The following is a 26,863-nucleotide window of genomic DNA, read 5'->3' on the forward strand; positions in this document are numbered from 1 at the left end:
CAATATTATTCCTCAGCCAAAAAGTAAAAGTAAATAAAATGTCCCATTCCCATTTGTTTTTGGGAGTCACAAGAAGGGTTGAACTGACCTCTGATTTCATGCAGCGTGGACAGGCAATTTTAGGGATCTTTACTGCAATATCTCAGCAGATAGCTGAACACTGGCATAAATAGATTATTTCCTCCAATGCCTTGCCTATCATTCTGTACCTTCTTCGGCTTCCTAAATCCTAGCAACAAGTAACCTGTCTTTATCCTGGCAGAACGGTCTTCACTATGATTTCAGTGCCAAAGTAATGACTGTTTGTACTGAATACATGTAACAGAGCCTCATTCCTTAGGGAATGTGTGTTTTTCCCCTTCATGTTTGTTATAAAGTTTGCAGATCACCATCCCTGTAGTCACTTAAGCTCTCTGACCTGTTCAGAGATTCCTCAGCAATTTGCTCTCTGGGTATCCTTTTTTCATGGTCCATGTTCTCTTGGGGTACACTCACAACTTTATTTTTCTAGCTGCATGCTGCCATTTTGGGATTGGCTGCCATATGAACCCTGGGTGTTAGGGTATGCTTCCCATCACAGATGACATTGAATAGTTCAACCCTCTCCATCTCTCCTCTTGCAAGGTATCATCATCATTCATTGCGTGGAAGACCACAACAAACTCTTGACTGGCCTTTTCGCTGTCACTTTGCCTCAAGGCCACAATCCATCCTCAGGACCAAGGGAGCCTTTGAAATAAGTCATTCCCTCCTTGACGTTCGTTAGCAGTTTCTCATTGCTTGTGGAGCAAAACACAGATAGCACCTTTAGTAACTAAAGCTCTGCATGAACTGGTCTTTACCTCACTTCCCCTCCTCAGCCCTTGCGAGTTGCTGGCCGTAGCCACACTGGCTTTATTTTACTTTTTTTGAGGCAGAGTCTCACTCTGTCACCAAGGCTGGAGTGCAGTGGCACGATGTTGGCTCACTGCAACCTCCACCTCCCAGGTTGAAGCGATTCTCCTGCCTCAGCCTCCCAAGTAGCTGAGATTACAGGTGCACACCACCACACCCAGCTAATGTTTGTATTTTTAGTGGAGGCAGGGTTTCGCCATGTTGGCTGGGCTGGTCTTGAACTGCTGACCTCAAGTGATCCACCAGCCTTGGCCTCCCAAAGTGCTGGGATTATAGGTGTGAGCCACCACGCCCGGCCCACACTGGCCTTATTAACATGCAGAACATGGTAATAGTGTTCATTCTACTAAACCTGTTTGTGTGTTTGTGTCCTAAACTTTAGCTATTATAACTTGGCCACTCCTCATGGGGGAATCAAAGGGAAGCTGTTCTTGGCTTTAGAGAAATTCACCTCCCAAGGCTAGAAAAATAGAAGCACTCATTTCTCACTAATGATGGGAATGAGAGTAGTGGGAGTTTTTATATGGAGGACATTATTTATGTACTTTTTAAATTAATTTGTTCATTGACTCAGTACAAATTGATCATCTCACTACACCTGTGTTGTATATCTCAAGAGTTGGGTAGTCAAGTGATAGTTTTATTATTGTCTATATTTCATAATTATTTATTTTAAATATTTCATAATGAGTAATTTTTTAAAATTATACTGATCACCCTGGCCTTGGTAACATGGATGATTTGAACACCTGCCTGGAGAATCCAATAATAGGATTGCTCTTATTGATGAACTAATATGTTTAACCATCTTCCTGTTGAGGTCAGTCTTTTTAGTGGCATAAATATTCCTTCCAGGCAGTGGAGTTTGGGATAATGTAGTAGAAATTGCTGGAGTTTCTCCTAAAGGAGAAGAATCTGTGCTTGCTCCTGTGGCCACAGAGATCACAACTGGAAATGAGCAGCCACGTGGCTGAAAGTGGAAGAAGCGATTGAATTCCTCCCATCCTCTCTGGTTCATAGTGATGGTCGGTGGTAACCACCCCAATTTGCAGGATCTGGGAGAACCACTCTGGAGATCACTCCTTGGTATCCTAATTCCCTGTTATCTATCTTGGTAAACTCCAGCCTTCTGGTTGGATATTTTAGCTACTGCAACATTGAAGACCTATGGTTCAGGATGAATCTACCTTCTCAGGAGCTTCAGTTGTACAGAATACATTGTCAAGTGATGTCCTGTAAACACATATTAAATGAAGGTTCCAGGCTGGGCGTGGTCGTTTCTGCCTGTAATCCCAGCACTTTGGGAGGCCGAGGTGGGTGGATCATTTGAGGCCAGGAGTTTGAGACCAGCTTGGGAAACATGGCACAACCCTGCATCTACCAAAAATATCAAAAATTAGCTGGATGTGGTGGCATGCACCTGTGGTCCCAGCTACTTGGGAGGCTGAGATGGGAGGATCGCTTGAGCCTGGGAGGTGGAGGTTGATCAAACCTCCACCTGGGTGACAGAGTGAGACCATGTCTCAAAAAAAAAAAAATAAAAATTAAAAAAAGAAGGTTTCAGCACTGATTCAGTTGAGTTTATCAAGTCATTTTTCACATTTCGTTCAGTGTTTAGTAACACAACTGTTTAATGAAGGCTTGCAGACTTTCTTTCATAAAGTTTAAAGTTGTATGCTGATTGCTGTATATAATTAATGTATCACAATGGCATTCAATTTCTGTAGCAGATCAGAAGCCACTGAAACAGAGAGGCCACCAGTAGCTTAATCAGTGTTGGTTTCAGGCTATTGCTTTGCAGTTGATTAATTATTGTGTTGAGTTGATAACTGATAACTGGATTAATTATTTTAAAATAATTTCTCTTGAAGCTTGACAACAAGAGTTGTAAATGTTTCCACTGTGAAAGCAGCTCTGGACCTACCAGCCTGCTTGTAAATATGGAAAAAAATGGTTTTGAATTGAATATTTGAATATATTTACTTTGTTATTAAAATGATTTAAAATGGAAGGTTTTGGGAGTGACAATAAATAGAAAATGTCACTCTGCTCATTTCAAGGAACAAGGTTTGAGGAATTGATTGAATCATCAATTTGGTTATGAGCAGAATTTAAAACATAGAAATAATTTGCTGACACCCCCCGAGGGGACAGTCCACGGAATGTTCCATTCCGTCTGTTTAACCTCTGGACTCCAGAGTACAGGGATTGTAACACCTCCCACACTTGATTAATGGGAAACAGCTGTCTCCTGCTTGTGTCACAGTGATAAAATGTTTCTCCATCTTAGGGCGAATCTCATTCCTTGCAGAGGGACCACATGTTCAAGCAGGTGGGAGAATGAATGGGTGCAAACTGAGCAGAGGCAGGAAGAGCATAACCAGGGGACTCATTTAGGCTCACAGAAGCTTAAGATTAAATATAAAAAAACAAGAAATGACACATACCAATCCACTGGTGTATCAGAGGCCATGAAGTATAGCCTGTGTACACCCCTCACCGTGGATCAAATGGGTTTCTTTGTTGGCTTTCTCAGAGCTTGTAAGAGAACTCAGTCTGCTAACTCAGATGCACAAGAAACAACTTATTACATTATTCATTTTTAATCAGTTTAATTTTAAATCCAGATTCTTATCCCTATCAGGCAAAATGTTCACTTTCAGCTATTTCACTCCTTTCCCTTTTCCTAGAGATGGGCAAGAGCCTGGGAGAAGGTAGTGCCCAGAAGGCACCGTGCATGGGTCAGTTGTTAGTGGTTGCCATGGTGACATTTGCTTTCAGGTACACATAGTGCATCTTGGCTTGGTGGCTCCCTTGGTTCTCTACCATCCTGAGGAATGGTGACTCTGTGGTGAAGCTAGGAACCCTATCACTTAGCATCCTGCCCACCTAGAGGTACCATGCAGCTGTTTTTTTCCTGGGACCCAGAGCTGTTTGCCCCGCTCACAGTCTTGATACCCTGTGACCTGTTAAAGGCCCTAACACTCTCCTGATCATCTTTCAGGTCATTTACCCTAATCCCACCCGGGGGCTTCTGATCAAACGTCTGCAAAGCATGGGCAAATAAATGTGTGGGACAGACCTGGTATAATACAATCAAAATATGGAAGGACTGTGGTAAACAGGAGAGCATGATTCAGGTCCAAAGGCATTCAGATGCAATTAAATATAACAGAACACTGTGCTGGTCAAATGGACTATATATGTATATATGTGTGTGTGTGTATAGAGGTATGAACTAATATATATGTATGAAATACATATATACACACACACTTATATGTGAGGGAGTAGTGGAGGAGGGAAGAAAGAAAAAAATGTGGATAGAAAAAAGCATATTAATATTTGAACAAATAATCTTGCTATGTACACCTCGAAGAGGAAAAAAGAAAATGTGAATTTGCATGGACCTAGTAATGTCTTACTTAGAGAGATCCATTCTTTCCTTTAGCTGATTTCAGAAGGCCACTTGTGAGAAATAGTGCCCCATGCAGCAATGCCCCAAAAGAAAGGGGAATGTCAAGGTGCTGCCTCATAACTGACTTCAGTGACTATGTGAGAGGTATAAAGGATTTCAGAGGTGGTGATACATTTCTTCAAATTGAGCTTCAAAGACCAGAGGCTGATTGGTCTCCTGTGCTCACTTGCCCTAAGTGAAATGAGGTTTCTCCGTAATGTAGAATAGGTGACCTGTAACTCTCATTGCAGAAAATGAGCATTGAGTGAATGTAAAATGTACACACAACCATGATGTGTTCATATTCCCCCCTCTCTCATGTCTGTCTGTATCTGGCAATCTTGTCTGTCTGTCTGTCTTTCTGTCTATCTATCTATCCATCTATCTATCTTCTATCCGTTTGTCCAACCAGCCATTCAGCCATCCATCCATTTGTCCATCCATGCATCTATTCATCTATCTATGTATCTGTCTGTCTGTCTGTCCATCCGTCCATCCATCCATGCATCCCACTAATATGTCAGTGTCTTACTCAGAATGGAAATACTGAAGATAAAGTAGGTATTATATTGTAAAAGTTCTATATGAACGCCGTATCTAAAGTTGTGTGTGTGTGTGTGTTTGTGTGTGTACTTACATCTCAGATCAAATAAAGAGGCTACAAACATAAATGCCTCCAAGGGCCAGGCCTATAAAGGAAAATTGGTTATTCTACTTGCCAAATAACATCTGATTCCATGGATTGATGCAAACTAGAGAACTGGAACATGTTTGTCACCTAAAGAGAACAGCTGCCACTCAGCACCGGCTCATGGTTATCACTTTGAAAATGTAGACCTTACCTTGCTGGATCAGCCAGTACTTCAAAAAAAAATATATATGTGCAAGTTATTTGAAATCTCTTGGTTTTTAAATATTGGCAAATAAGTTATGTTTCAAAAAAGTATCGATATATTGGCCAAATGAACTGCACCGTCAGGGTATTTGCTGGCATGGATTTGACCGATTCACCACCACTGCATCCCGGGTGCCTCCACAGAGATAGATACAGAGCACGTGTTCAGTAGAATATTTGTGGAATCAATGAATGAACATATGCCTGCAAAATTTTAAAGAGTAGGGTGCTTAGTTATTTTTCCCTAAGTTTTCCTATCAGAAAGGGCACATTTTGTCCCTGTGCAAATTGAGAATTTGTGGGGATCATGTCCGGAGGTGATCTCTGTCACCGGAAACCATAAGAAAGATGAATTTTCGGTTTTTTCTTCACTGTAATGACAGAGTGTGTTCAGAACTTCTCCCAAGTAGGAGAAAGCAATCAATCCTGGTTTGTTCAGATGGTCCTGGTTTTAGCACTGAAAATCCTGCATCCCAGGAAACCGTTCTGCCCCATCAAACCAGGATGGTTGGTGATTCGGTTCTTGATGCTCTGTGCTGTGATTCATGGGCTCTAAAATGTACTAAGCAGATTGGTCAGTGTATGTGCCTGATTGAGAACTTGTCAGTTGAGGGCTGTGTTGTTATTTTCTTACCTCTCTGAGATAGCCAGCTCTGAGGCTGTCTCCATCACTGCTTGTTTTATGGCATGGCTTGGTGGTGATTCTCTCCATCATGCTTAGCCAGTATGCATCTTGATGGGACTACCTATAGGCTATTTTAACAGGTTACTCGCCACCCGTCTCATGCTGCCAATGATTCCACAGTTTACCTAATGCTTTTTAATTGTTTAGGTTGACATTTTGCCATGCGCAGTTGTAGGTAAAAATTTAAATCAACAAGGGGCTCGGTTAAGCAGTTTTCTCTGTGTGCCATGTAAAAATATCACTAATGGTCAAAACTCAGACCTGAGCAAGAGATAATATTTCCCCCTCTCCCCTTCTGTACATTGTATGTTTTAATATTAATTTCTTCTTTATCCATATATCAATAATTGAACACTGCATCAATTAATATGCTGGGCAAATTGCATTCCCCATCCTCTCATTCATGATGTGTTTCAGTAATGGAGATAATTTTCAAGATAAAGCATACAATTTAAAATGGATTAAAAAGAAAAACTAATAAAGGAAAAGTGATTTATAGAAAAAAATTATGGATACTTTCAGGAAATCTTAGCTGTGCTTCCAAGCCGATGGATTTTGTAAGGAGAGCCTATTGAAACGATCAAGTTTTATGCCTGCTGCAAAATTTCCTAGGTCTGCGATTGCAAAGAGAGGGAGGGAAGAATGTATACACACACACACACACACACTTTAAAATTTGGTCTTCTAATGAGGGCGTGTGTATCATCTTCATCCTTAGATTAGGAAGCCACAGATTCATGCTAGCAAGTCTTCTTGAAGCTTTCCATTTGCTGGGCTTAGTTGGTGGGGCTTGGTTTTTTGCTTTTGATTTGCTGAATTGGCACACAGGCTTCTGACGGCCCATCCCCCGGCCCTCCTTCCCTTTTCCCGGTCCACACCCTGGCTGAGAGCCCTGCACAGAGATGGGCAGGCGGCAGCTGCAGCGATGGGCAGGACCGCAGCCTCTGAGCCCGCAATGACACCGTGGCGTCGGTAGATGGCTGTAGACAAGTGTGCTGAGCTGTGCGGTGTGAAGAGTAATGAGTCTGGGGAGGCCTTGACCTGACTGGATGCTGCTTTTATCTGAAGTACATTTAAAGAGATAAAGGGGAAGCCGGGTTGCTGCACATGTTCTTTTCTCTGCGGCTGGAGCTTTACTTTGAGTTTAAAAAAATTCTCAGATGCTGGCCTCCCAGAGTCACCGGCTCTGTGCAGATGGGCTTGCCTCAAGAGGATCGGCCGCCTTCCTGTAAATTCCACCAGTGGGGCTTCCGTGAATCTCCCACCCGCCATCAGGAAATGGTGTAGTGCCTGTCTGTTGATGATCAACACCATCGCTAGTATTATGAATATTGCTAGTATCATCAGTTTTTGTTTTCGCCACTGTGGCTGGCCGCCTAAAGTGTCTGGATTTGCTCATTAAACAGCCAAACCAAGAATTTGTTACCTAAGCAGGCTTGACAGAAAAGAGAAGAAGGGCAAGAGTTAGGAAGGGAAAAGAGAGAGAGAGAAGGAGGGAGAGAGGGAGGGAGGGAGGGGGAGAGAGAGGGAGAGAGAGAGAGGCAGCCAGAAGCAAGTCACATCACATACAGTGCCACTGAAGGAATGTTATCCTCATAAACTCATAAACAAGCACACCAAATCTTGTGTAAGGAAAGAAGAGGGTCTCTAAGGACTTGACAGGAAAAGGCAAGATTTTCTACCCACTGCTTTCAGTTTTTCTTCCAGATACTCTTGGTGAAGTAAGGAGACTTCTGTTTGCTGACAGAGCCCTTGATTTCTCTTTCAAGATGATGATGTATTTGTGGGTAGGTAGTGTCTCTTCCTCTGTCTCTCTTTCTCTTTCTCTCTCTCTCTCGCTCTCTCTTTCTCTCTGATTAATAAATTGACTTTGGGGATAAAGATTGCAGCCCAGAGTAATCGCATTTTGTGTAAGGTGATTATACTTGTGGCAGAATAATCTTGCACTGGTATAGTACATGTGCTCGCATTTCCAGTGGGAGTTCAGGCAAGACCTGGTTCATTAGCATTAAGCTGCAATTTTATTTTCAGTTGCAAAAAGGAATGACAAAAAAATGTGTATGTGTATGGGGTTTGGGGGGATGTACGGTTTTCTGTTTTTTGAAAACATTGATGGTGGTGAATTCAGAAAAAAGGTCTAGGGAAGTCGGGTTAGACATGAAGCAAATCCTACATCACTTGTAGCTGTGAGGTATTTCATTTAATTACCAAGAATGAACTGCTCTGAGTAGTGATGGCTTTGTTTATTTGTTTTGTTTTTGTTTCTGTTTCTCTCTCACAAGTGACTACTTATTTGTCATTTTGGGGTTGAGTGCTGTAGAGGAGAGTAGCGTCTTTCATTTGCTTTAACCAGATGTGTGTCCGTATGTGTGTATGTGAGAGTATATTTTACAAGATTGGTCTTGAAAAAGGTAGATTTACATGCACTTATTCTGGCTTTCTGATAAATACTCTGTAGTTGTTTTTTGTTGTTTTTTTTTCTGGAGATCGTATTAAAATAAGAGCAATGAAGTGGTAACCCGTAGTTATGAATTACAATATTTAACTCTTGAAGCAAGAAAAAAATAGTAATCTAGCATGAATGGTTTAGAAAAAATTACTTATTATGTTTTGGGAGACAAATATATATCCTAGTGTAGTTTAGCCAATAAAGAGCATGTGTGAATTTCTTATGCCAGTAACCAAAGTCCTTGCTCTGTGATTTCAGGTTTAGAGCAGGTGTTCCCTGCTTTGCCAAGGGAGGGAGGCGTTTTCGAGGTTCAACTCAACCTCTGTCTTTCATCAGCATCATCATCACTGTTGTTTTTCGTTGCTCGGCAGGCTTAGAAAATCCTCTTTATCCGCTTCCCTCCAGTCCCTGCTCTGGTTCAACTCAGATCTATGAACTCTCTTTGCTGTAAAGGAAGAAGGCCTTTTTGTTGAATTCTTTGTTAATCACATTGGTTCTTTGACCTCTGCTGGTCTCTAGGTCTGCCTTGCCCCTCAGTGAGCCTTGTCATTTACACCCTTGCCCCCTTTCTTTGGGACATTTTCCTTTGTAGCGACTTTAGCTCCATTTCCACCCGGTTTAGTTTTGCACAATTTAGTACAATGAATTCTGGCAGCTGGAGACAGAGTTTATTATTATTTTGTCTTCATTTCAGGGCAAGTTTTCTCTTCGAGCTTGCGTATCACGAAAGAGGTATTTTGAAATATAAAATCACTAGTTAAAACTGCATGAACTTAATAGAGAGTTCTATCTAACAACACTGAATTCTCATAACATTTATTTTTGACAGTGGAGGTTGAAGCAATTAAAATTTTGAATGTTTACAAATGCTGATTTTTAAGCATTAAAAAAAAGTAGTCACGTGGGATTGTCGCCTCAATAATTAAGGAAAAAACTATACTAGCATTTCATGGAAAGGAGCCTTTTTGGCTTTTATTTTGTGAACAGATTCTGGTTAATTATAAACAAATATCAATAATTCCTTTAGGCTGTGGTGAGTTGGTTGCTAGTCACACTCTTTCTCTGAGTTGTTAAGTAGTGTCTGTGATATTATTTATGAAGTTTGTTAGCTCTTACATATGTACATATTTGCAACTCAAAGCAGAGGAAAAATGATGCGTGTCCCAGACCCCCTTCCACATCCGAAAAACTTGCTGATTTGTTTCCTAGTAATTAATCTTGACTTAAAAGCAGCATCCCTCAATTTCTATTTTCTTCTCTCAGACCAATGCATTTTAGGGCTACATGGCTTTATTAACTGCATTTATCACATTGAAAAATGGGCACTACCTTCCTTTCCTGTGCTCAAGTATTCTGTTTACATCTTTAATTCAGATTTTTTTTCTGCATTCAAAAAAAAAATGGCAGAGACTTTAAATTGGAACAGCTGGATGCAGGCTGTTTAAGGAGATATGAATTAGCAAGCTAGCATTAACACTGTGAGGTTGGAGGGGTTTTCCATTCTTTTCTTCTTCTTCTTTTTTAATGCAGAGGTTCTGCTCTTGCCTTCTAGTCTGTAAATAAAGATAGTCTAAATGTGGTTGATATCTCTGTTTAAGAGCTCATCTTGCTTTAGGAAAATGAGCCTCAGCTACATTGATGTGTGAAAATAGTGGTTGCTACTGTCTCATGGATATAAAAGTGAAAATGAAGAGACAAGGAGAGACAATAAAATAGAATCCATATTCAGTTTACTCCTGTCATTGTTTCTTAAATTTGTAAAGTAACCTCTTTATATGCACCTATCTGTGTTAATAGCACACGATTTCAGTATGTTTTTACTAAGATGGAAAACTTTTTGCTGGGGGGAGGTGTGGGGTAGATGGTATAGTCTCCCTTCTCTAGACTGACTTTGTCATTTTAGTCTATAAGGATGGTCCTGTGTATTTGAAAGGTAAAGAAATGCTTTGGAATCGTATCAATTAAAAATAGTGTGGCCCCATTAAGCCAGTCCAATTAAATAGTTACAGATGCTTAATATGTCCATCATTTGGTGTCATCTCAGATTTATACATTTTTTTCCCTTAAATTTCTTTAAGAAGGTTTTCCTATCAAAAATAAATTTTGTAGTTTTCGTTGTATTTTATTTTCCCTGAGTGAGTACAGGTTGCTGTACAGGGGAAAGAAAGTTGAGTTCTCTGCAACCATTGGCTGACTTCCGGGCGGTTTTGATTCACCAAACTTGGCCACGGTAGGAGGGGGAAACAGCCTTCCCTACGGACTTCTTGGAAAAGCAGGGAAGTCACGTTTACTGAGGATGTGATCTGAGCTGAGCACCAGGCTACACTTGCCGTAGAATGAAGTAAAACCCTCTTGACCAGCACAACCTCCCTTGACCAGCACAAACTCCTGCTCTCCTGTGGTTATTTAATTCCGCCAGGATTAGAGGTTCTTTGGAATACAATTGAGCTGTTTCTCCTAGGGCTGGAAAGTAGGCAATTGGCACCTACTCATCTAATTCACAAACAGGATACAAATTCCTCTGCCACTCAAGTCTTGGACCAAATGGTCCCCGCTTAAACTCTACTACAATAGGTATTTGTTTGACTTTATAACCTTTTCGTTTCTCTTTACTTTTTAGTTGGTTGAAACAAATAACTCTTTCCATTTTATTATTTTTACTCACATTTTCTCATTTACATTCCAAGTACACTTCCTCTGTTTTTACTTTAAGTTAAAATACTGCAATTTTTAATTTTAACTTTACTTTTTTTTTTTGTTACAAATTTGGTGTTCCATTTATTCACTGAAAATAACTTTTCTTCACTTTATCGTTTCACACTTCATCCTCACCTTTTAAAAACTTTTTTTTTTTAGAAATATCATTTTATACAAACATACCTGGGTTTAAAATGGGAGAAGAGCAACAAGTCAAGTCAAGAATTTCTGAGGGATGTTGAAAAGACGGGGAGAGAGTTATGCCAGGCGGCAGCATCTCTCCTTTTACCAATGTAGTTCAGTCACTTAAAAAAAAAAAGAAGAAAACGAAAATGCATCATTTTTTCTACAGGATCCTGAGAGTCCTCTACCTCCCAGAGTGTGTTACACTTGGCAGAAACTCCACCACCCAGACAGCTCCAGTTCTCAGCCTGCTGTAAGCAAACTTGTGAAGTAGCTGCCTGTGGCTTATCTCTGCTCTTTCACCCCATCCTCAGTACTGGGGGAGCCTCCTCTGAATTCTGCATTTTCTTTCCTGAATGCTAAAGCTTTTTCTGATCTGTACTCTACATTCTAGAGCTTCGTTATTAACTGAGTATAGAGATGGCCTGATTTGTAGATTCTATGTGGATCAGAGATTATGCAGAAGTTGCAGATATAGAGTTGCTTTATTGTCTTGGATCATCATGCCAGTTTAATTTAAGGTCTTTCAGGACAGAAACAACATCTGCCCATTTTGTTTGACATTCTCTTTTCCCCTTTATTTCAAACAATACACGTGCCCTTTGTAGTAAAATTAGTCAATGAGAAAAAAAATAAATAGCACCACCTCTTCTAGCACCTAAGATATATGCTGGAACACTGGTTAAACTCTTAAAGATATTTAAAGACATCTTAAAGATGTTTTTATAACATGCACACACACCCTTCTTTTCTCAATTTGAATATAGCATTGATTACAAAGTTACAAGGTATACCACTGTTTTATTAGTAGGGTTTGTTGTTGTTTGTTTCTCTTGTTTGTTTCTGCTTTAGTGTGTGTTTGTGGAGAGCCAGAAATGCTATCGCATTAAAAGCCTGTATCAATTGTAAAACACATCTCCATTTCAGATACATTAAAATGTGAAGAAGGAAAAACAAAGCCTCTGAGAGGAAATACTCTGTTTCAAAAAATGAGATCACACTGCTTTAGAACTTACTGTTTTGTAACCTGCTTTTATCACTTAACATTTTGTACCATTCAATATTTTTCCACAACAGCCTCTTTAATACTGTATAGACAGTGTTCCAGCGAATGGCGATTCCAGAACTTATTTAACCAATTCTTTGATTATCAGTTGTTTCTGCTTATAAAAATCCTTGCTAGTTCCTGGTATGGTGTGAATGCATTCACTAATCATATATGTATTTGTTCAGTGGGTTGGTTATTGACAGAGCCTTTACGGACTTGGGCACTGTCTATGGTACTGCGCCTTGGGGGACGCACAGTTAAGTTAAAAGTATGTTAAAAGGTATGAAGAGCTGAAAACAGAGGATTGCTTGTTAATATTAATCACCTGTTGATTGCAGTTCACAAGTTTGGTAATTATTTTTTCTTCAAGTATTCTGTCCCCTTTACCAAATCGAAGGCTGGGACATCCGCCTTTTCACAGTGATTCTTCTTTCCGCCTTGGTGCACTGGAGGCCTAAGTGTCATCTGTTTTTTTCCAAGTTAGTTGACGCATTCGTTGAATGGTTCCTTTTCGTAGGAACTTGTGCTGGAAATTGCCTCTGGCAGTCAAAGGAAACATTTTTGTTTTGGAGAGAGAAATTTTCGTTTTTTATTCCAAAGTTCAGCATTTCTGTGTTTCCTATGAGTGCAGTGCTTTACAGCAAAATGCCTCAGGAATACAAAGATGACTTCTTTTACCCCAGTGAATTCTGATTCAGAAATTCGTTTCTGTTGACCTGGCAAGTTCATTCAGCACCCATACTGGTCACCGTGTATCTCAGTTAGGGGGCTGAGAAAATGGCCCAGCAGACTCTGATTACTGTGATGAAGGTGTTCATTATATTATCCCTTATCTTTCTTGACTGTGATGTATACTGAGCTTGCCTCTCTTGTCTGTGTCACCAGGAGATAGTTCAGAGCCCTGAATGTTCTCTGTTGTCTCGAATATTCCAGCCGCCATGTTTTTCTTGCATACCCAGCCCACTTCTTCTTTGACACTCTGACATAGTCACATCTTTAATGTTGCTTAAAGATGTTTTTGAACATTTGGAAAGGGCTAGTTTCCCAGCATCTTTAAGTCAGAGGTACCCACTTATCCAGATACTCTTCAGGCAGAGGAATGATGATGGACCCTCATGAACATCTCAAACTTCTCGTTGATTAGAGGGAAACTGGATGGATCGAAAGTTAATGAATGGGAGCTCATTTGTGACTTACATCTTCCCCCTCTAGCTTAACCATTCATGGCCTCCCCACTCACTGCAGACTTTGTCTGGCAGAGGGAGTAATACGCTATTTTCCGCTTGAGCACCCAGAAGCTGTTGATGTAAATTGATCAGTACTTTTTTGTGTTTTCCTGAAATTCTGTTTACATGCACATTTCCTCTTTGTCTGTAAAGTGATTTGTATCATAAAGCCACATCCATTTTTTCCCACTGTAATAATGACACAAAACTCATTGAATATTTGTGTTTAAAGATTCTTGGAAAACATAATGGTGTGACTATATAAGGCGTATATAATTTTTTTAAACAAAACCTGGTGAGTATTAATAAAAACAATGATGTTGTCTTTATGATTGTGTTTTAAACATAGTAATTGGTCAAGTGGATGTTGCTTAGTGCCAGAGGATCAGAGCAAAACATACTAGATGTGAAATAGCCCTTCTCTTCTTCATTTTACATTTTGAGTGGTGTTTCACTTACCTTTAGAAAATTTTCCAAACCTTCAGACAAATACTTGATCAAATGATGCGGGTTTGAAAGACATAAGCAAATTAGTTTCTGTGCAAACTTGTGTCCCCATTCAGAGAAGAACAAATTGAAAAATTGATATTCAATACCAACAAGATAATTTCGGGAAGCAATAGAGCATTGTTTTGACCACTAAGGAACATGAAGCTTTTAGGAGAAGTAGAGAGAGCTTTGCCCATTGTCTTCCATTTATTATCCGAAGACATTCCAGGTGAAAAAAAACATGGGAAGGAAAGGTAGGAAGAGAAAGCTTTGAAAATGATTTGGAGACATGCAATGCTATTTCAAGTGGTTCTGGGGACTGGATAGAATACATCATTGCTTTCTTTGCATTCCTATGTCATCTTCTCCTGATGTTATCATTCGAAGTCAGACTGTCAAATCCTGTGTATTGGGAAACACTCTTTGTTCCCTTGACTTGGGGACTCCTGCATTTCTTTTGAAGTTTTTTTTTTTTTTTTTTAAATCATTACATTGTTCACCCTACTCCAATGTCTTGTTAGTGGTTGGGTGGTATGGCTAAGATGGCTGATGAACTGAAATAAGGGCAGACTGTACAGCTGTGTGTGTGTGTGTGTGTGTGTGTGTGTGTGGGTGTGTGTGTGTGTTGAGAGAGAGAGAGATTGAGACAGAGGGTAAGAGAATTTTTCTGCTTACATTTAAATAACTCACTTATGGATAACATTTGGATAACGTGTTCTCTTTAATCACACAGACTTTTGCCCCGTCTCTTAATACCTGTAGAACAAATATTGTATCTGTAAACATCTATTGTAAACATCAGTGTAAACATCAAAGGTAAACATCAATTGTGGAATAACCTTTTTACTCTTACAGAGTGATTTGCAATTCTGTTATTTGCAAATCTGTCTATATTTTGTTGATGATATTAGTAATTTGTTTTAACTAGAATGTTCTTTCTTTCTTTCTTTTTTCTTTTTCTTTTGAGATGGAGACCCACTCTGTTGCCCAGGCTGGAGTTTCACTCTGTCGCCCACGCTGGAGTGCAGTGGCACGATCTCAGCTCACTGCAACCTCCGCCTCCCAGGTTCAAACGATTCTCCTGCCTCAGCCTACCCAAGTAGCTGAGATTACAGGCTGTCACCACTGTGCCTGGTTCATTTTTGTATTTTTAGTAGAGACTGGGTTTCACTATATTGGCCAGGCTGGTCTCGAACTCCTGACCTCAGGTAATCGACCTGCCTCAGCCTCCCACAGTGCTGGGATTACAGTCATGAGTCACTGCGGCCAGCTTAGAATGTTCTTCCTTAATAGAACTCATGACAAAATGAAAACATGCTTAATTTTTATCTGTGATGTGGAGTTGTGTGTCCTCTTTTCCACTTGGTTGTTTCTTTTCTCTTACTTTGAGTTACATTGTGAGCCCTTTCACACAAAGAAGGGTCTGAGCTTTCTCTATACTTGGATGTCATGATACATACCAGGTGGGAGCTTGGAATGTGTTTACAGATGATAATCATGTTGGTAAGGTCTTGGTTGATCACTCGATAAGTAGCAATTTGTTTTTTAATTCATTTCCTTGTTAAGAAAATATGGAGCTGGGCATGGTGGCTCACGCCTGTAATCCCAGCACTTCGGGAGACCGATCATGAGGTCAGGAGATCGAGACCATCCTGGCTAACACGGTGAAACACCTTCTGTACTAAAAATACAAAAAAATTAGCCAGGCGTGGTGGCGGGTGTCTGTAATCCCAGCTACTTGGGAGGCTGAGGCAGGAGAATGGCATGAACCCAGGAGGCGGAGCTTGCAGTGAGCTGAGATCGCACCACTGCACTCCAGCCTGGGCAACAGAGTGAGACTCTGTCTCAAAAAAAAAAAAAAAAAGAAAAGAAAAGAAAAAATAAAACATGGAGAGCATCTAATGCATGAGATATTGTGTGTGCTAAGTTCTGACGACCCAGGAGACATGATATGATCCCAATCTTCATATAACTTACATGTAGTGAAGGAGACAGATAAAACACAACACAATAACAAAACTGGTAACCATCGAGCAAAAGTAGTCGATAAAAGTGTTATTGCTAAAACTCATGGTTGCAGAGCTAAGTGGAGACTCAAAGGGGATATGTAGGCTGAGATATCTGAGAAGTCCAAAGATGACAGGCAGTCAGAACCAGGTGGATGCAGATCATCTCACCATGTCATGGAAACTCTGACTCAATTTCTCGGACCTATTTTTCTCCGTGTCCCCCAGCAGGATGTCTGAGGCAACCACTAGTAGCTTCTGGCTGACATGCCACTGTTAACAGCAGCCCTGGTGGGTGGACCACACTCATCCAAGAAGTAGTAGGCTCTAGGAAAAGTTTTGAGGCCAATTTTCTTGCACCTGGATTGAATTCCTTACCTACCCCTGAACCCATCCCTGATACTCAACATCCAACCCTGTGTAAAATATTTGCTGTTTGGATCTAGGAGTGGACTTAGCCCCAGTAAAACGGGGACTGAGTTGAGCAGGTTGGCTCATGCCTGTAATCCCAGCACTTTGGGAGGCTGACGCAGGTATATCACCTGAGGTCAGGTGTTTGAGACCAGCCTGGCTAACATGGTGAAAATCTATCTCTAGTAAAAATACAAAAATTAGTTGGGAGTGATGGCTCTCCCCTGTAATCCCAGCTACGTAGGGGGCTGAGGTAAGAGAATCACTTGAACCCGGGAGGCGGAGGTTGCAGTTGGCCGAGATCGTACCACTGCACTCTAGCTTGGGTGACAGAGCGAGACTCCATCTCAAAAAAAAAAAAAAAAAAAAAGGACTGAGAATAGGGAAGTGGTGGTTTCCCAGGAAATATTAAAGAGCTGTTACCAGAAAGCGAAATGAATCCTGGTTTGGTAAAAACAACAGATGCCTCCTATACAAATAAACACATGTGATCATTTGCAAGGAGATCTAGGACAAAAACAAAAAATGTGCTTGGGAAATGCAACCGCGAGAGAGGTATTGTGAATGGTGACTTCGAGCAAGACTTTTCCAAGAAGGTGTCTTCTCAGCTAGGACCTGAGAGTTAGGAAACTGCTATGAGGTAGGAGGATGCTAGGGAGGTGTGGTGGTTAGAAGGCCATTGTGTACGTGGAAATTCCAGGAGGCTAGGCTGGCTCAGCCTCAGATGTGAGGAGTATGGTCAGAGAGAGAGAGAGTTCTGAGACAGGCAGGAATCAGAGCCTGGTAGATTAGAGTTGCTTGCATCAACCCCAGTATCAAAGATCCCCATCTCCCATGCAACACCCTGGCATTAAAGCAGGGAAAGAGAGAAGAACCCTACAGAGGAGGACAGTAAGAGAGTGAGTGGAGTTTTCTTTTCTGTTTTAATTGAGAAGTGTTAGAGAATTGTGGAATCATTTCTTTCTAGGATTTTAAGCACCTCTCCATCTGCCTCAAATAATCAAATTCCATCCAATTAGATGCTGTTGCCACTCATAATATGCAAGTCTACATATGTACTAAACCCAGGGCCTCTCTGCATCTGGTTTTGATCTATATTTTCAAAGAAACCTGCTCCCCAAACTTGCACAATGATTCCTTCACAGATGCTGAGTCAGCAGAGAGCTAGTGCATATTTATCCAGAGATTCTGATGAAAAGAGGGAGAAAGAAAAATCTAAAAGCAGAAAAATACGAAGTATATGGAAATTTTGAGGTTTCCTGCTGAGTTAGGGAGAAGGGGTTGGGGAATCCTTGAATAAATCATAGTGCCTCACACAATGGCCTGCTTTGTCTAGTAAAAGCACTTTTGGTTGAGGATCAGAAATACAAAACAGTTTAATAATAGTGAGTGTTGTGAGGAGTTTCAAGAATCTTCGAGGGCATTTGACTTAAATGAGCTCAGTGATGGAGTATTCAAGTAAAGCCAGTGTTGTCAATATGCTAACTTAAAAGGCTAATCAAACAGGCAAGTGGTACAAGTGAGGAAAGGAACACAATTAGTTAATGGAAGATGGAGGGTAATATGGAAGGGACAAAAAGTTTTTTATTTTTATTTATTTATTTAGAGACAGAGTCTAGCTCTGTCATCCAAGCTAGAGTGCAGTGGCACGATCTTGGCCCATTACAACCTCCGCCTTCCTGGTTCAAGCCATTCTCCTCTCTCAGCCACCAGAGTAGCTGAGATTACAGGTGTGCATCGCCATGCCTGGCTAATTTTTATATTTTTAGTGGAGATGGGGTTTCGCCATTTTAGCCAGGCTGGCCTCAAACTCCTGACCTCAAGTGATCCACCTGCCTAGGCCTCCCAAAGTGCTGAGATTACAGGCATGAGCTACTGTGCCAGGTAGGCAAAAACTCTTATTCTATTCATTCATTTGTAAAATTAAGCCAAAGATAGCATACTTTACTTTATTGAAATGTAACACACACACATCAGCACCCTTAAACATATACATTCGGTTATAATGTATTGGTAATAACACAGGAAATTCATTGGTTTCTTATGGGGATATAGGACATTAGAGTGGTTAAAATAGTGATGATCTTGGCTGGGTGGTGGCTCATGCCTGTAATCCTGGCAGTTTTGGAAACTGAGGCAGGAGGATCATTTGAGCTCAGGAGTTTGAGACCAGCCTGGGCAACATAGTGAGACCCTGTGTCTATCTTTAAAATAAATAAATAAATAATAATTAAAATCGTGGTCTTTCTAGTGAGGCACAGCTATATTCAAAATTTGGTCCTTATCCTATTTTTTGCAGTAACCCTCAGTTTCTTCATCTTTAAAATGGGACTGTTACTAGTGCCTGAGGTTGTTTTTCAACTGATATTGAGCTGGTTGCTTATAGCCATTGGTCTTTTTGATTGATGGCTGCCTCTTTTTGGTGGGTCAGTGTCCAAACTCTCTCTTGTTAAATAGTTCACAAACTATCCTTGCATAGTATCTTTCTCAAACAGTTATGGTGAAAGTTTATATTGCAAAAATAGTACTTAGAATCAGAGATGGCAGATAGTAGCTGTTTACTAAAAGTTAGTTGTAACCATCAATACTGTTGTCATTACAAAAAAACTGAGTACAAACAATGTCTTCTGCATACGTGTGGATGTAGAATGAGGGAGGGTAGATACAGGGCAGGAGAGATCACTCTAGCTGCAGTGGGAAATGGCTCAAAAACCAAGGAATTTCGTAATTCCTGGCTGGTGTAAACTCATTTTGTACCAGCTTCTCCTCGTAGGATCTTTCTTGGGTGTTTTATTTAACCCCTCTTTAAAATGGGGCTAATACCAGAAGGGGAATGGGATGAAATAATAGAACCATATTTAGTGTCTAGCTGAGTGGTTTGCACTGGTATGTGAGACTTTATATTCTTCTCTTCTCCTATTACTTATAAACCAACAAGTATCTGAGACAAGTCTCAGTCAACTTAGAAAGGTTATTTTGCTGAGGTTAAGGTTGCACCCTTGACACAGCCTCAGGAGGTCCTGAGGACACGTGCCCAAGGTGGTTGGGGTATAGCTTGCTTTTATACATTTAGGGAGACATGAGACATCAATCAATACATGTAAGATTTGCATTGGTTCTACCTGGAAGGGAGGGACACTTCAAGGAGGAAGGTGTTTCCAGGTCATAGGTAGATTTACACATATTCTGATGGGCAAGTGGTTCGTAGAGTTACCGGGAGAAAAGAATGTGTGGGTTTCAATAAAGGGTTATGGAGACCTAGGTTTTATCGTGCGGTTACAGCCTCTAAGTAGCAGGTTTTAGGGAGAATAGACTGTAAATGTTTCTTATCAGACTTAAAGTTTGTGTTGATGGTAATGGTGGAGAGGGGTATAATGAGGCATGTTCACCCCTCAGTTCTCATCATGGTCTGAACCAGTCTTTCAGGTTAAACTTTAGATTGCCCTGGTCGAGGAGGGGGTCCTTTCACATGATGGGGGGTGAGGGTGGTCACCTTCAAATTTTATTTTTGATTTACATACTAAATAAAGCTCTCTGGTGAAGGGAACAAAAAAAAAAGCTTTAGAGAGGGATGCAGAGAAAACAAAATTGAAGTTGAAAGGAATTTCGAAATTTGTGTGTTAAAGGAATGACTATTCAGTGCTGATATCAGTGTTGTGAAAAATGGTTAGAATAAAATGCTCATGAAAATTTCTCTTTTTAAAAAGAACCCTGACTCTTTCTGAAAATAAAAGTCATATTTGGACATTATGAAAAAATTTGCTATATGAAGTAGAATCTGACTCCCCCCAGCCTATCACTCATCACTCAACATTTTTGACGTATTTCCTCCTCTTTTAAAATATCAGTATATTTGAATTTTCATAGATACCCATTTTCCTCCAAAACAGAATCATACTATAAACATATTTTCATACAAATTATCTCATAAACATTTTCTAGTGTTACTGATGGTTTGGGAAAACATGGGTTTTTAAAGGTTGTTTTTTTTTTTTTTTTTTTTAGCATATGGCTATACTGTAGCTTATTTACCCATTTGCCTACTGTTGGATGTCAGGTTTTTCTTGACATAGCCTGTGATAAATATTAATGAAATGAACAATAACAACTTTAAAAATGTACAAAATGGACAAGGGAGAGTGAACAGAGGACTCAGAGGGGGAAAAAAGATCCAATGGCCGTAAATATAGGACACTGTGTTCACCCTCTCCAATGTCAGATGAATGCAAACTAAAAATGTGTTGTCAAATTGAGAAATGTTTTGCAAAGGGCAATACTATACTGAATGCTTGTGAAGTTAAACTGCTAAACATTTTTAGAGGTTGCTTTGCAAGTACAAGGGATTTTTTTTAAGTGAAAGTGATTGTACTTTATAGCCTCATCAAGGATTATTTTTTGAGGAAACACTCAGAGATATAGTGAAAAAATGTTGCATACAAGGATATATGGTACAAAGTTACCTATATACACTAAAACATCTCTCAAGTTTTCATTCAAAGAATAAAAGCTAGTATTCTCATGCTATGGTACTTTTAAGGCACTAAACGATGCCTGCCGTTGGTTGCTGAGTATTAATTTAGTCAGAGCTATGCATGCAGGCAGAGCTGGCCTATGCAGGCCCCATTTTTGTGACTAGGAATTTATTCTGCACCAGCGTGGCATAGAGAGAAACCGAGTGAGTGCAGTGCCAGCTCGCCGCTAGCTTGGATGAATACATGACACACCATTGCGCTTGGAGAAAATGCTATTCATTGAAAATAAAAGGGAATTTAGGAAGAAATGTAATACTCATCAGTAATTGCAAGGAAACTCTTGGATTTCGTTCCAGAGTCTTGGTAATAGTGGTTACATAATATAGCAGTGAATGTATGCGTGAGATTAGAGAATTTTAGAAGGAAGAAACTGAGATTCAGAAAGAGACCGGCTGTACCAAAGTGTATCCAACCAAAAGCATTCACAGAGAGGGGGCAGATCACATATTGAACAGTGGTGCTTTTGGAAAAGATCATATGACAGCTATAAAGACTCTGATGAAAGGTTACTAGCAGGTTATTCAAAGGTACTTTTTTTGAAGGCAAGATTTTAAGGCATGTTAGGGTAGGCATTCAAGTAGGGTGATTTTTTAAAAATGTATTTGCTTGCCGCAGAAGACAAGTACAGGTTCTGCTCTGATGCCTGTCCTGGTCCTCTTTCCCTTTTAATGTTAGAATGTGGCAAATGCTCAGTAATCACTGAGCTAGGGATTTCCAAGGCTCTTGTCTTTGTCTGCATCCCAGGTCCAGGGATTGTACAGTTGGTAAACTGTACCAAAGCATGGAGACCAGGTGTTTACGAGGATTGAAGCATAGTTGGTGCTCCTTTCACCAAGCCTTGTACCACAAGCCTAGTGCTGTATCCATCCAGAGACAAGGGTGCCGTTTTCCTTACTCCAAATTTACATAAGCTACCAGTGTTTGCACCCATGCTGGGCTGGCCCCACCCAGAGGAGGGTGCTTTTTCTAACTCACAACCAAACATACAGGCAGAAATGGTCCTGCCTGTGCCTACTTCTCTGTTAGAAAAGAAACACTCCTCTTACTCACACTCATCGGATTCCAGTTAAGCCACTGTTTGCAGGGGCATTCCCTGAGGAAATTCGGGCTGGAGAAGAGAGATGAAAATATCTTTCTCAATTCTACCTTTGTATAGGAACTCCATTCTTTGTCTATCCATAGACTATTGGATTCCCTTAGCCTATATGTGAAGAAGGATCTGATACAGAGCCTAAGTCTTACTGAGAGCCTTAGAATTGTCTTTAGTGAAGTGTTAAATAGTCGCTTTCAAGCATTCACTTTTGTAGATGTCTTCGCAGGATTTAAAGAAAGAATAAAACATGCCAGGATATTTATGAATCATGAGATTTAATAGAGACCAAAGTAGATCTTATTACTGATGTGCTTACTGCTTCATTAAATTCCCTTTAAGGTTTGCGGCTTGGATATGGATCATTTGCAATAATAATTAGGCAGTGATCGATTGATTGGGTCTGACATTGCACTTGTCACCTTGAAATGCAAAATCCATCTATTTTCAACAGTGAACATTTCTCGCTAATCTTGCACACCAGCATGTGATAGTTTATTTTATGGAGAAAGTACAATTTATAAAGTTTGGAGACTTAACATTAACCTTTTACTAAGAATGAAGTATCACTTGTCATTTTACAAAGAAATGAAAATCATCCAACCAGCAATTTTTTTGAGATTAGAAAACACAGCCTAATTTCAAAAGAATTTTTCAAATCCAAAACGCATGCACTTCAATTGAGTGCTACAAGTATATTGTGAGTATTGGAGTTTACTAAACCTTCACATGGAGTATAAATGATAAAATTGTGAGCTTGAGACTAGCTCTGCTGTGTGTACAGACACACACACACACATTTAGACACACACACGTCTATTTGTCTATCTATTTCCACATTTAATTCCCTAATTCTATCTTTGCCTCAAAAAAAAAAAATGCAACACTCTGTTTCTGAAAAGTGTGGGTGCTTTCCAAGCTGTCGGACCAAAGTATTACTGAAAGTTATTCCATTTGAGGATTTGCACATTTCTTTCCAAGTTGTGATTTTTAAAGAGGGGATAAAAAACCAATGACCTCATTCTTTTGCATTTGTATCAACTTTGATTTCCAGAACTTTAACTGTTTTGAGTTTATGACGTGTCCAGTCTCAAGTCAGTATAGCAATGAGTAATCATTGTAGAATTGCCTATTAAGGGGCAGGCATCGTTCCTGATGCTGGAATAAAATAGCAAATGAAGCTGGCCTGGCCCATTTCTACACAGAACCTACATACTAGCTAGGAAGCAGAAGGCCACCTTCAGTCCTGCTGAATTTAGAAATACAGTATATGAATTGGTATGAAAAGACGTTCACAATGTATTGGTATGTTAAGAGATGATCAGTGACAAAAGCTGTGTATCAAATGTATAGATAGATTGATAATCTACACACCAAGATGCTAAAAGTGATTAGTTTGAATGATTTCTCTTCTTCACCTCTCTGCAGTTTATAGTTTTTTGTTAAGTACATGTCTTGTTTACATAATAAAAATGACTTAAAGAAACGTAAATAATAACGAATATGCCTCATACAGGACAAACTAAGCAACAAGTCTGGTGGTATCAGAATTTGTACAGAAAAACCTCTAAGGTACCCAGCAATATGTCAGAAATTACCAGACTCGTGACTTCAAGTGCCTTTAACTCTTAGTCATGAGAAAGTACTATTACCTAGTGATACCATTTGCAAAAGAACACACAAACAGATGTTTCTGTTGTTTAGCTGAGTCTCTCTTTCAAACATCCATGGACAATTGAAATCTTCCAAGTATCCGTTGGTTTACACAACTTGCTCCCTATTATTAACAACAAGAGTAAAATAGAATTTAAATTTTGTTTTGTGTTTTTCCACATATAAAATCTAAAATAGTTCGTTACTAAAAGCAATCCTGCAATCCCACAGATGTCAGAATAGTAATTTAAGAAATATGTACCTATCTGTATCTGTATGGAAATTAAGGCCAAGATAAGTAATAACAAAGTAGCATTGATTTGTTAAATGTCTTTGCTAGTGACTGCTGTCTGGAACTACTGAAAACTGCAGTATTAACCTCTAAATTGTATCCCTGAGACCCTCTTCACACTCACACCCATTCACTGGAATTGAGGATATAAGACAGTCCTGTTAGTTGATGTAACTTCTCCTAAGGGGGACCAGTGTAGCTTGAACATCTACTTAATCAGTCTGGTACCTCATCCCCATCAGGACAGTATGCCCCTCTGATTAAAACAGACTATTGTCATCCTGAGATGGAGGGAAATTGATTCTAATTCATGGACAAGGAAAGAGTAAAATTTAAAAACATAATCTATTCAAGATCCTGACTTTAAAAGCAATGGCTTACCTAAGATTACGCAAATAATTTATGATAAAGGTGGGCTGAAAATGTTGGGCTTCTATAGTCAAGTCAGGACCTCTTGCTGTGATATTGCTAACTCCTCAGCCTGGGTATTTACATCGGGACACCAGAAAGACACATGTTTTCCTGTTGGTTACATATTCATGGTCAGTGGAGTTAAGGACAATTAACCAAGGAACTCTAATGTTCATTTTCTTCAACCACTTCATCCTTTCTTGAGTATTGCTCTACCTTTTTTGTTGTGACTTGCAAAAATAACCAACACAAAGAGGCTCAGACAAAACACATTCTTCAAGGGAGAACTCACTGGTGTACAAAACAGAAAAGTCCAAGAGATGGATCTCAGGTACAGCCCCAACCATATTCAGAAAATATACTCAGAAATCTCTGTGCTTGTGTGTGTGTGCACGTGCTTCTGTGCTTGTGTGTGTGTCTTTATGTTTCTCAGCTCTGCTTTCTTTGATTCAGTCACAGAAAAGCCCTTCTTGGCACCTACAGATCTCCACTTACATTCTTCTAGCTGAGCCCTTTGAGCTGAAAGAGAGCACCTCTGCCACTAAAGCTTGGATGTTTAAGCAAAAGTCTCAGGACTGCCTGTCATTGCTTCAGCTTAAAGTATAGGCCCATCCATTAACCAGTCACATTGGCTTGGCAGTAGTCTATGGAGATTGGCCAGGTCTGGGTCACATGGCAACCTATGGAGGCCAATCCTTAATCTTTTTCTCTGGAACCATATGGTCTGATTTTTTTTTTTTTTTTTTGGCTTCACCTATTTTCTTTTTTCTTAGTTTTTTATTTTCATAGGTTTCGGGGAACGGGTGGTGTTTGGTTACATGAATAAGTTCTTCAGTGGTGATTTGTGAGATTTTGGTACACCCATCACTCAAGCAGTATACACTGCACCCAATTTGTAGTCTTTTATCCCTTACTGCACTTCCACCCTTTCCCCTGAGTCCACAAAGTCCATTGTGTCATTCTTATGCCTTTGCTTCCTCATAGCTTAGCTCCCACTTACGAGTGAGAACATACAACGTTTGGTTTTGCATTCCTGAGTTAGTCTGCAATCTCATCCAGGTTGCTGCGAATGCCATTGACCCATTCCTTTTTATGGCTGAGTCATATTCCATCATATCTATCTGTCTATCTCTCTATATATATCTATCTATATATGGAGATATATAGGTAGATATATAGATTCAGTCACAGAGATATATATCTATATATCTATGTAGATGTATATAGAGATAGATAGATAGAGATATCACAGGTTCTTTATCCACTCATTTGATTGATGGGCATTTGCGTTGGAGGAACCATCTGATCTGAGAATGGAGGAGGTATTGTTTCACTCAGGAGAGGTATACGTAGACAATAGATGCTAAGGAAGGAAAGCAATTGTTCTTTGTCCAGTCTTTGTCTGTGCTAATGACAACTCTATGAAACTACTCAGTCCAGGAGGATTTCTTACAGCACAACTCTCTGGTGTTCATGGGACTGACAGTTCTGGAATATTTAAAACTATTCAGTACCCCCACCTCCTGTCTTGAATTCCTCCTTGTCCTTTGAAACTCCTTTACCGTGAATCTATAGCAGCATCATGACCTGTGAAGACACAGTGCACTTTGAGTTCATTTTTCCTGTGGGCTCTTTTTTGTTTTCGTGTGTCAGGTTCATAATGACTGTGTGTGCATGAATGTGTGCATGAGCATGTGTGTAAACACATACGTGAGTTTCCATCTCTAGAAATTACTGTCATTCATCCTGGTCAGAGAATGTACAGCTTTGTTTAATTAAATGGTGAAGCTAGTTGAGAATTGGCAAATGGAGTCAGATTGAAAAATATTTTACAGCTCTTTATTCTTCATTTTGTATTTCTTGTGTTAAACAGAGAAAGAAAAAAACACCCTTGGGATTGTAAGTGATGAACTTAAGTCTTTGGGATTCCTTTATAATTCAGTAGGTCATTAATTCTGCACTACTTGTTGCCTTTTGGCTTAAACATTTGTGTTTTCTATGTGCTTAGGGACTTCTTTTTAATCTTTTAGATATCTGTCTATCTCAAGGTCCTGGCATAATAATAATAATTTTATTTCTTGTGTAATGATTTGATTTAATTCAAACATTGTGGAAATCCTACGATGTGTGAGCTCCATGCTAGGTGCTTGAGATATGAATTCATGACACATAATCCCTGCCACCAAGAAGCACAAAATTTTTAAGGAGAATTAGAGAGTGACGTGACCAGATGCCCTAAAAGGTGTCTGCTGGACAGCATTAAACAGATACACAAGCAAACAAAATAGTATATTAATTAATTCATGAAACAAGTATTTATCATGCACCAGACACTATTCTTGGCAGTGGGCATGCAACAAGGAGGACATGGACACGTCCCTAATCCTACGAAGCTTGCATTCCCATGTAAGCCACACAGTTAAAACACACACACACACACACACA

General features: G+C 39.8%; 1 protein-coding gene across 30 annotated transcripts in view; it reads left to right on the plus strand.

Annotated features, from left to right (window-relative positions):
• The window catches only part of RBFOX1 (RNA binding fox-1 homolog 1), a 2,473,620-nt gene that overhangs the window by 1,840,422 nt on the left and 606,335 nt on the right, over positions 1 to 26,863 (plus strand). The gene's annotated exons all lie outside the window — the stretch shown is intronic.

This window comes from Homo sapiens, chromosome 16 (assembly GCF_000001405.40).
Source record: "Homo sapiens chromosome 16, GRCh38.p14 Primary Assembly".
NCBI classification, from domain to species: domain Eukaryota; kingdom Metazoa; phylum Chordata; class Mammalia; order Primates; family Hominidae; genus Homo; species Homo sapiens.